Source organism: Homo sapiens, chromosome 8 (assembly GCF_000001405.40).
Source record: "Homo sapiens chromosome 8, GRCh38.p14 Primary Assembly".
NCBI classification, from domain to species: domain Eukaryota; kingdom Metazoa; phylum Chordata; class Mammalia; order Primates; family Hominidae; genus Homo; species Homo sapiens.
Window position 1 is genome coordinate 55,693,671 of NC_000008.11, and position 12,084 is coordinate 55,705,754.

General features: G+C 35.8%; 1 long non-coding RNA gene across 2 annotated transcripts in view; it reads right to left on the minus strand.

Annotated features, from left to right (window-relative positions):
* Positions 1-1,647: 1,647 nt before the first annotated feature.
* LOC105375846 (uncharacterized) overlaps positions 1,648-12,084 on the minus strand; it is a 35,038-nt gene continuing 24,601 nt past the window's right edge. For both annotated transcript variants that reach the window (XR_001745917.2, XR_001745916.2), the window contains 2 exons: positions 10,450-10,578; positions 1,648-3,164 (listed from right to left, as the gene is read on the minus strand). This is a non-coding gene — a long non-coding RNA (uncharacterized LOC105375846). The remainder of the gene's footprint in view (positions 3,165-10,449; positions 10,579-12,084) is intronic.

A 12,084-nucleotide genomic window follows, 5' to 3' on the forward strand; every position in this document is an offset into this window, starting at 1 on the left:
TGGACATTTGACACAGCAGCAAGGAGGGAGACACATCGTTCTGAAAATTGCGAGTTAATTGCAAATTTATTTTCCACATACTGAGACTACTCCCCAGTCCCTACTCTTCACTTGGCATAAATAACCTACCATTCCAATGTTTTCAGTTTGTAACCTCTTATTTTGGATGTTTTTACAAAATATGTACTATTTTTGAATACATGTATTGCATAACTCATTATGTTCCTTATTCTTTTTTTGTTCAAAGGGCCATTCATATTGCTTTGTTTACATCTAGACAGTTTCTTCTGTTTTGCAATATCATATGTACACATGCACATTTTTAGAACACAGACAATCAGGTTAGCATCACCTCTGCTCTACTGTGAACAACACTGTAATGAACTTACTCTTCTATGTCCCCTTACAGAACTGTGTGAGAATTTTTTGGAGTATCTGTCTGGGAGTGAAACTGCTGGGTCCCTAGGTACACACATGCATAATACAATTGGGTACTAGCACGTTGCTCTGTAGAACTGCCGGAGTACCTAAGGTTCCTATATTCCACATCACTACAATCCTGCCCATTCTCCACCTTTCTAATTTTTGCCAGTCACAAATAATATATCATTATTGGTTAAATTTGCATCTTTGGTGTTAACTAAAAGATTTAAACATCTCTTCTTATGCTTTTGGCCTCTTGTATTTCCTCTTCTATAAACTGTCTTTTGTTTTGATATTTGTTTTTTTCTTTTCTTTTCCTTTTTTTTTTTTTTTTTTTTTTTTGGGACAGGGTCTCACTCTGTCACCCAGGCTGGAGTGCAGAGACATGATCACGGCTCACTGCAGCCTCGACCTCCCAGGCTCAGGTGATCTTCCCACCTCAGCCTCCCAAACAGCTGTGACTACAGGTATGCACCACCACACTCGGTTATTTTCTATATTTTTACTAGAGACGGGGTTTCACCGTGTTGTGCAGGCTGGTCTTGAACTCACTCCTGGGCTCAAGTGATCCTCCCACCTTGGCCTTCCAAAGCGCTGGGATTATAGGCATGAGCCAGTGCCCCCTGGCCTGTTTTTTTCTTATTTTGATTTGTTGAAGTTTCTTGGATGTGAAGGTACTGGCCCTTTGTCAATTTCAGACATTGTAAATAACTTCTCTCAGTCTGTTAACGTCATCCTTAATTTTGTTGTGAGCAAAACCATCTTTTTTTTTGTCTTATGCTATAACTTTTTGAGGTTTTGTTTAAGAAGTCCCTTCCTACATTTTAAAAATTAACTTGTACTGTTCACATTTAGCTCTTTAATCCATATAGAGTTCACCTTTGTAAGTGATGTGAGGTAGGAATCAATTTTAGTTTTCTTCATATTTCTGCCAACACCATTTACCCAACACCATTTACCAAATAATCAGTTTTTCCCATTGATTTATGGTGTCTTTTATTTTACCTTGAGTACCCACGTGCACATACATCTTTCTGTGATCTTCCTATTCTTTCTCGTGTTTGCTTGACTGTTCTTAGGCCAACATCTTAGCATTTGGCCAAAGTTCATTTGACTTTACCTTGACCCAAGAGTAAATAACTGAACACCTATCTGGCATCTCATGAATTTGTGTGTGACATTTTAGATTAAAACCTAATCAATACAATAACATTAAGCAATAACAAAGGTATTCATATTTTTATTGAAATATGGTATAGATTACATATAATAAAATACATAGGTCTTAATTGCACAGCTTGATAACTTTCTAGACATGCATAAATCCTTTTAAGCCATACCCAAATCAACATAGAGAATATTTTCAACATCCCAGAAGGCTACACCCATATTCTTGCACTCAATAAACTCTAAAGGTAACCATCATTCTGACATCTGTCACTGTAGATTGGTTTTGTCTGTTCTTGATTTTCACATACATGGCTCATACAATTTTCAGCCTTTTCATTTCTGACTTCTTTCATTTATCAATAGGTCTGTGATATTTATCCATGTTGGTGCATAAAGCAATAGTTTATTTTTTTCCACTGCTTGATTGTATAAGTATACTAAAATGTCCTTATACATTCTCCTATTGAGAGACACTACTGTTGATAGGCAGTTTGGGGATTTTATACTAAACTGCTATGAACACACCTATTGGAGGACATAAGCCCTCCTTTCCTATTTCATGCAATGTGTGAATGTTCAGCTTTAGTAGATGCTATCAGTGGGTTTTTGATTCAGATATTGTCAATATAAAATAAATGTAGGTAACTATTTTAAATGTAACCAGGACTGAAAGTTTTCTTTAAGTGCATTGTGAGTGGAAATATAAGTGTATATTTTTATTGTAAGAGTAAAAGCACTTGATTTATGAATAACAACTATTATAAAGAACTTTAAAATAGTTAAACAAGGAAATCAATTGACAGCTAAGGAGAATGTTAAGAGACAGCACATCCACTAGAAAATTTTAGGAAAAACTTTTTCATAATTTGAGTCAAAAATGTTTATAAATATGTAAAATAAACATCAAAGTATATTGTCTTATCCTTATAGATTATTTAGTGTATAGGTACCATAACATTAAACAAAGTAACCTCTGGGAAATCAATTTGTCTAGGTTAACCAGCTAAGAAATAAATCTTACAGGAAAGAAACATATTTGCAAAACATTTACAACTTGTAAAAGTGAATTAAAAACAGACTGTCAACTTTACAACCTTAAAATTGTATGAAGAGAAAAACTCCAAAATCACTTTTAACAATGCTATGTATAATCGACTTCACTTTAACATGAAAATGCAGATTATGTTTCTCTGGCAGAAATACCGTATAAATGATGTTGTTTTCTTTCTAGCATGTCACATCACATCAGGAGGCATATAATGTTGGTTTGTGTCATTAGTCGTGGTGGTAACTTTGATCACTTGATTAAGATGTCATCCACCAGGTTTCTTCCCTATGAAATTATTTTTTTCCTTTTATAATGAATAAGTACTTTATGGAGAGATTCTTTGAAGCTATGTGTATATCTGTTTCTCATCAAACTGTCACTAGTTTCTTTGTTCTTCACTGTACAGGGCACAGGAAAAAACTCATAAGTCTTCCAAAGTGAGAAAGCTGCAGCCCCAGAGGGTAGCCACCCTCACATGACTCGACATGCTGAAGGGGGCAACCTTTTTGTCTTAATCTTGATACTGGGAGACAGAAAGAAAATTATCTTAGGATATGTAAACACAAATTGGCCTTAACTAGGGTTTTGGTTGGGTTGGGTTTGCTTTTGGGGAAGGTGGTAACATGGAGCAAATTGACATATTACATGTGGTCTCAAAAAAACCCAGGCTGAGAAATCAAAGTTGTTCCAGATGGTAGTGTCCTCAGGCAATTGGCAGTAGCTAATCATCCATGGTGGAAAACAAACTTCAACTACACCTATCAGAATTCCTATAGACAAAGCTCCAAGGTAAGCTCACATTCAAAAGCATAAATCACTGAAGGAAACAAAGTATCATGGATTTCTCAACCATAACAATATTGGGCAGGATAATTCACTGTGTGGTGCAGTGCTGTGCATTATAGGATGTTTACCAGCATCCTTGACCTATACAGAGTAGACATAAGAACTACCCTCCCACCTCCCCAGCTGTGACAACCAAAATGTCGCCAGACTTGTCTAAATGTCCCCTGGAGGGCAAAATCAAACAGGTTCAGAGGCAATGAATTAGAGCAATGAGATAAAACTCACAGTGGAATCAGACATTCAAAAACTTCAGATTTGGGGGTTTTCTGCATATTAAATTCAATAAGTGAGATGTTTCTACTAATTTAAAAGGGGCTTTGAAATGTAATCTGGGTCAGCAGTCCCCAACATTTTTGGCACCAGGGACCAGTTTTGTGGAAGATAATTTTTCCACGGACAGGGGCGTGGGGGTTGGGGGGATTTGGCATGAAACTGTTCCACCTCAGATCATCAGGCATTAGTTAGATTGTCATAAGGAATGCACAACCTAGATCCCTTACCCACAGAGTTCACAGTAGGGTTTGCACTCCTATGAGAATCTAATGCCACCAGGGATCTGACAGGTGGAGCCCAGGCCGTAATGCTCGCTGACCTGCTGCTCACTTCCTGCTGTGCAGCTAGGTTCCTAACAGGCCACAGACCAATACCGGTCCATAGCCGAGGGATTGGGGACTCCTGATCCTGGAGCCTTATTCTGAAGGCTTCTGTGTATACACGTTAAATACATTTGTATCCCTTTTCTCCTATTAACCAGTCTGCCTCATGTTAGTGATTGTTCAATGTTTAGGGGGCCAAGGGCCTTGACCCCCACAGTTATGGTGCAGTAAGCAGGGTCACCAAAGTTGCTCTGTTCTGAAAGCCACAATGAAGAGAACCCAAGAATCTAAAAACTGGCAAAAAGGTAAGAATTTTTTACCAGTTCGTCTCCCAGACTCTCTCAGTGTAATCTGGTTGAGTGGACAGTAAAAATCCATTTGTCTCCTCTGCAAGGTTTTGATTAATGGGAAAAAAGGTTTTGTGTGACTTGTCCTGGGGGTTAGCTACTCTGATGTACTTTTTGGTACTTTGTGTTATGGATATTCACATTGTCTAATTCGTTTTCTCCCAGAAATAGTATTTTCTTTTGTCTGTCCTTCTGTGTTGTCCATAAAGAGAGGTACCAGATAAAGTTCCCCATTGTCTTGTTTTATGTCTTCGAGAGCTAGATTTGTGACCAATCTAGATCTGTGACCACTCTCTCTTGGTCTCTACCATCCAGGGTATCTGATTTCCAGGTCATGTCAAGTGGCCAGCCTGAAAATGGCTGGGATCTTGAGATTTTTTTTGTTCTGAATGTGCCAAGCTCTTGGGAGAGTATGTCATAAGAAGTCCTATCCATAAGGGGATTTTGTCATCTCAATTTTTGTTGCCTAGTGAGTACTGAGAAAGTACAATTCAGGAGGCTCTACCCTGTGTCACAGATTAACGGGTCTATGAGTGGTGGCCTCCTCACAAATTTGTGGGTTACTGGAGGCAAACACAATCCTTGACTGTCTGTGGCAACAATTGTTTTGCTATCTTAGCCTCTTTCTGGAAAATGGCATCCTTGGGATTGCTTCTTCTCTGAAGAGGCTGCTGGATTGGGTCACTATTGAAATTAAGTTCACCATGGAAAATCCAATGGCCAAAAGATGGATCCTGTAAATTACACTGCTAAGTTAAAAAAAAAAATGAGACCTCTAATTCCAAACAATTGATGAAAAGATAAAAATCAAATAAAGGTGTCATAGCTAGTCTTAAAAAATATCTTCACTAATTAAAGAGCAAAAATATAATCTAAAACAAAATTACACTTAAACTGCCCACTTTGGATTCCATGTAGGATTAATAATCAAGGTTGCTCCATTTGAAGTCCAGTAGTTAAAATTCCCACTGTAGCCTGGGTACAGTTCCTGATAAGAGAATCAGTCGCTTCTGGTTTTCATTTATTGATCCTTTTCCCTTACATAAACAGCTTTTGATTTCCTGCCTGATTCCATCTTTGGAGCACCTGGGGCTTTGGGGCCATTGTGAGTAGACATTCAGCTGAGAAGCTGAGACCCTAGAGAATATGGCTGAACAGAAATGTAAGTTATACCCCATTTATGGCTAGTGAAACTTTCCTTTCTTTTAGCTATCTTTGGGATGGTTCTGGATCTTGTGCAAAAGCCAGAAGTATCATCTATTTGTCCTGGCTAAAATCTGGTAATAAGAGATTTGGGGCTGGGCATGGTGGCTCATGTCTCTAATCCCAACTGTTTGAGAGACCAAGGCAGAAGGATTGTTCGCTTCATACTGTCTTTATTAGGTCTTATGATTGTTTGAGAAACTAAGTCTCCTCTCTATCAAGTGGTAGGATTTTTGCTTTTTGAGTTATTTAAATTTTCACTTTGGCTAAATGAATGGTTTATTTTACAGTTGTGTGAGTTTATTTTGTGATATCATGTGTTTTAAACCTTTGATATTTTACAAACTCTCCAAAATCAAACTTCAAATTCTAAATTGGTTTTTTTTAAACCACAAATGAACTTTTTGACCATTAGGGCCCCTGAAAGACCAAGAGAGACATATTTGGCTTATTTGGTACATAAAATCATATAGGAAACATTGTCAGATATGAAATTGTGCTTAACTTGCTTTGGGTTTTATTTATGTAAATGTCTTATTAACATGTGTTCCAAAATTGTAAGAGATTCCTGCAATTCTGATATGTCTTAGTATATATTATCCATAGTAATTATGATTATTACATTAAATTGTTGTATACCACAGAAATAACCAAATCTCTTTGTCAATTGTGTCTTTAACCATGGCTGTTCTAAGACTTTTGTCTTCCACAGACAATTTTTGTTTTACTCTGATTCTTCTCAAAAAGCAGTCTATAATCAACTACAATCCAAAATCTGTTTTTTCTTTAAGGAAAATTATGGAAGAAATCTTACAAGTACTCTTAAATACAGGTTTCTGATAACTTCAAAGATCATACCATTGAACTAGGGAAAAAGACCTCCAGGACTCTAACTTAAATGTTGATGAGGATTGTTGATGATGAGGATCACTAACCCAACACTAAGCAGACAAGAGTTATTACATGGGGTTGAACTAATACAAGACTGAAATAATTTTTTATGTCTTTTTTTGAAACATTGCTAATTCTTTTTGTTTTGTTTTTCAGAGTGAAGAAAACTTTTTTCTTTTGAGCTATTTATAGCTTATGGCAAATTGGGTAAAGTATAGTTTTGTGAGCAAAATTTGAATCATTTTTCTTTCTCTCTCTGCCTGCTTTCTCCAGAATTTGGAAACTGTGATTTTTTTTTTTTTTTTTTTTGGATAATGGAATTATTGAGTATATTTGTGAGTGTTCTTAATTTATGGCAATATAGTTATATATTACATAAGCTCAACATAGTTGAATATTGCATAAGTTCAATAGAATCTGTTTTCATTTCTAACAGGACACAGCTGGAGACGCTGGTTATTTTACCAAGGCTTTCAGTGGATTAGCAGATTTTCAGACATATCAGACTGCTTTGAGGAATTAAGGCTGACATTATAGAGCTGGTAAAAAGCCCCTTGGAAAGACTGGCCTCGTATCTTGTCTATGCAATTCCTTTACAAAGTTCCTGATCTGTGATATGTAAAGAATGTTACTTTCTGAAAGTCTCAGGCACCCCAAATTATCTTGGGACCTTGGGAAGAGAGGAATTGAGCCCATTCATACAGGTATCTGCAGACACAGATAAATCTTTGACTTGGCTCCGGAAGCTTTCAAAAGTCTAATCTGAGATTTCTTAGGAAAAAAAGTTGCAGCAAAGCCAATTTTAAAAGAGCCTAACAGGCCGGCCGCGGTGGCTTCACGCCTGTAATACCAACACTTTGGGAGGCCAAGGCGAGCGGATCACGAGGTCAGGAGATCGAGCCCATCCTGGCTAACACGGTGAAACCCCGTCTTTACTAAAAATACAAAACAATTGGCCGGGCGAGGTGGCGGGCACCTGTAGTCAGCTACTCGGGAGGCTGAGGCAAGAGAATGGCGTGAGCCCGGGAGGCGGAGCTTGCAGTTGCCGAGATCACACCACTGCACTCCATCCTGGGCGACAGAGCGAGACTCCGTCTAAAAAAAAAAAAAAAAAGCCTAACAGAGCCAATAAGTATTCTTGCTGTGGCTCACACCTGTAATCCCAGCGCTTTGGGAGGACAAGATGGGAGGATTACTTGAGCCCGGGAGTTTGAGACAAGCGTGGGTGAAATAACAAGATCTTGTCTCTGCAAAAAAAAAAAAAATTTAGTAGGCTGGGCATGGTGACGTGGTCCTATAGTCCCAGCCACTCAGGAGGCTGAGGTGGGAGGATCCCTTGAGCCCAGGAGTTTGAAGCAGCAGTGTGCTCTGATTGTGCCATGACACTCCAGCCTGGGTGACAAAAGAAGGCCTTGTCTCTAAAAAATATATATTTTTTAAAATTGCATTTTATACAAATAATCAGGCCAAGTATAATAAAACTAAAACTTATTTTTGCAAATAAATTAGTCCTGCTATGATTTATCCTTGGTAAAAATGGCAACTGAGGAGAGAAAATTATATTTCAGAAGAAAATTATAGTACACCCATTATTAGATTCTAGCCTTGTCCATCATTTCTGGGTTTTTATTATCTGCCTATGATTTGATCTGAATCCCGAATTCTTTCCTGGCTACAAGTCTCCAAACTACTGGTTTCACATTTTTCTTCCATTTTTCTGACTTGGACTCAATGAAATTGCTACTACCATTTTCTTGAGGCCCTGCAAGCTGAAGCTCATACCGTGTGATACAAACAAGAAAAACTAGTCAAATTGCCACTACCTTTTTCCAGTTTGACTGAAGATGCTTTGAGTCCAACATTTGGACACCTCAATTGACTGCCCTCCAGATTCTAAGGAAACTGGCTTATAGATTGTAGTCAACATTAACCTTTGTTTTTATTCTGTTTGAAAGACTAACTTCAATGACACACATGCTTAATGGAACTGGCCTATTCCCAGAAATGGGAGACTGGTTTAATGGGATCCTTTACCATTCAGCTTTTAACTCAATTTTTCTCTCCACAGCCACCAACTCAGCTTTTAGTGTGTGACACTTCTAGGGAAGTTTCAGACAGAGGAATATTGGGGCTCAGAAACTGAACAACCCAAAATATGGCATTTTGACATGCTAGACTGAAGAGGCCTCAAAGTCCCTCTGACGTTACACACCCTCAACCATACCACTGTCTCTCCCAAAACATAGGCCATTATCTGCCTAAGATCCAGACCCTCCAAAAAGAACAGTAATTTTTTCTTCCCCTCCTCATAAGACCAAGAATGTAATCAGAACCTGTTGTGCCAGGATGTTATATACACTTCTGAACCTCAATGGGAAATTGGGGCTTCATTCTGAAGGGTCCCATGTATATACACATTAAATAAACTTTTATGCCTTTTCTCCTATTAACAAAAATAAATAATCTAAAAACAAGAGACTATACATTCCGATCAAGCAGAATTTTTCTGAAAAAAGCAAAAGAATAGAAATATAAAAGCAAAATATAATACTGAAATTATAAACTCAATAGATATGTTAAATAGAATGGACACTGCTGAAGCAAAAACTAGTAAACTAGGTTATATAGCAGAAGAAACTGCTCAGAGTGAAGCACTGAGGAAAAAAAATGGAAAATATGAAGAGGAAATAAAGGAGCATGGAGGGGAGAGTGAGAAGGTTTAACCTATGTCTACTCATTTCTGGAAGAAGATAAAAGAAAAGAAAAGAAATAGATGCTTAAAAATATTTGATTAATGCAAAACAAGACAACGGAAAAGAAATTAAGGAATATAAAACAGGAGGGAAAATTTAAAGGAAGAAAGTAAGTTTACATACATAAGCCCAAATATACCAGTAATTATGTTAAATTTAAATGAATAAAATGAAATACATCAGTTACAAAAAAAGACAAATTGTTAGACAGAACTACAAAACAAAACCTAACTATATTGCTTTCAAGTAACACAACATTAATATAAGAATATAAGACAGCTGAATGTTAAATAATGAAATAAGAAGTAAACACTAACCAAAAGAAAGCTGGTATAGTTATACTAATAGCAAAGTTGATTTTAAGGCAAGAAATACAACTAGAGATAAAGTGCTCTTTCATAGTGATAAGAAAAAACACTTCATCAGAAAGGTATACAAATTCTCAATATGAATACACTAAAAACATAGCTCCTAAATACATAAAGCAAAATGGAGCTAAAATGAGAAATAAACCAATAGAAACAGGAAATTGGAACAGCACAGTTAACAAAGTTAATGACATATATAGAACATAGAACTAAATGACATATAGAACACTTCATTCAATTTACTCTTTCATTCAAGACTGAAAGAGTAAAAATTATTTGTAAGGGCCCATAGAATATCTGACAATATTTGCCATACGCTGGACCATAATATAAATCTCAAATGATTGAAATCATTCAAGTATGTTCGTTGATCACAGTGGAATTAAACTAGAAGCCAACTAAAAACAAAGAACAACAACAACAAAACGCAGACACGGGCACACACCTGTAGTCTTAACTGCTCTGGAGGATGATCTGAGCCCAGGAGTTTAAATATAGCCTGGGCAACTCTCTGAGAAAAAACAAACAATAATAACCCAACAACAAATTAAAAAAAAAAAAAACAGAAAATTCTTAAAGGTATGGAAATTAAGCAATATACTTCTAAGTTACTCCAGTATCAAAGAAGGAAATAAAGCAAAGAAGAGAGACTATTATAAGAATTATGTATATTTTTAATTGAATGATTTAAAAAATGGCATCAAAATTTATGAGATACAGTTAAAGCAGTGCTTAGAAAGAGATGTATGACTTTAAATGACTATATTATTGAATCAACCTATCTTAATACTAAAAAATGCTTACCATGTAAAATATATACACATGCCATGAACATAAATATCCAAGCGCTCTGTTGATTCTTTGTTATCTGTGTTTTTCTAATACTTTTTCATCTCCAGAGCTTCTACTCATGGTTAAGTGTTCACCTCTAGCCTGAGGAAAATTGAGTACAAATTAAACATGTCTAATCTGAAATTTTCACTAAATTCCTTTTTAATTTTAAATATGATTGTCTAAAACATTAAATACTCATCACAGATAACTTTTGCCATTAAACGGTATAGTTCTTAACTAGAAATGTCCATGTTTCCTATTAATCTTGATATCATGTTTGTGATTGCTAAATGTATTGTCTATGAAGAAAATGCCTTAAAAAACTTGTAACAAAAACATTTCTAATACTTTGATGTCAGAAAACACTTCAGTAAAATGGTAACACATTTTCAAAAGCCGATGGCATAAGAATACAGCCAATGAAAAGATACTTTTTTTTTTTTAAACTGTATTTTTGACTTCAAACATTTTATTGATATTTCATTGGGTTTCAATCTTTCTATGTGTGGCTAAAAGACATCAGTGAATACGAACTAGCATTTTTGTGCTTTATGTCTTTATTGAATAGATTCAAATATGAAGACATTGTTGGTGAAAAAACAAAAAACAAACATATAGTGGACAAGAAATAATAGTCACCACAATCATCTTACTTTTTCAACCTAATGCATTTATGAATAATACATAAGCAATTTTTACAGTTTCAATTTAAGCTTACAATCATTTTTTATTCTACCATACTGTCAAATACTTGTGAAAATAAATAAAAATACAATACAAAAAAAAAAGAAAGAGATGTATGGCTTCAAATGCATATATTAGAAAAGAAAAAAGGCTGAAAAATCAATAATCCAAGTGTCCACCTTAAAAAGTTATAAAGACAACAAATTAAATGTAAACAAAGCAGATAAAAAGAAAATTATAGATAAGAGCAGAAACTATTGAAGGAAAAAAACATAAATAGGAAGAAAAACAACAATAGCAAAAACTCTGAAAAGGACAATGAAACTAAATTTTCTACAGCAGGGATTGGCAAGCAACAGCTTATGGGCCAAATCCAACTCAATACCTGTTTCAAACACTTGTTTTTTTATGGTTCACGAATCAAGAATGGTTTTTACATTTTTCGGTGTTTTGGGGAGGAAATCAGAAGGAAAATATATTGTAGCACATGAAATTCAAATTTCTGTATCCATAATGTAGTTTTATTGGAACTCATGCTTATTTGTCTACATATTGTCTATGGCTGTTTACATGACACAATAGCAGAGTGGTCACAACAGAGACTGTAATGTCTAAAATATTTTCTATCTGGCTCTTTATAGTTTTTTGACCCCTGACATATACCAGTGCATGAGTACATATACTTAAAAACAACCTGCTGATTAATAACTTGAAAAATAAATAAACAACCAATCAGTTTACAGACTTTGAACTTCACTGTATCAGTTAGGGTTATAGTCCACAGCACTTAAAATATTAACTGTAAAGGACCACCTTTATAGAAAAAGCTTGACAGCCCCTGTTCTGTGGTATCAAGGCAAAAAGAGAAAGAAAAAGAGAGATTGAGACAGAGACAGAGAGACAAAAACATTCCAAGACAGA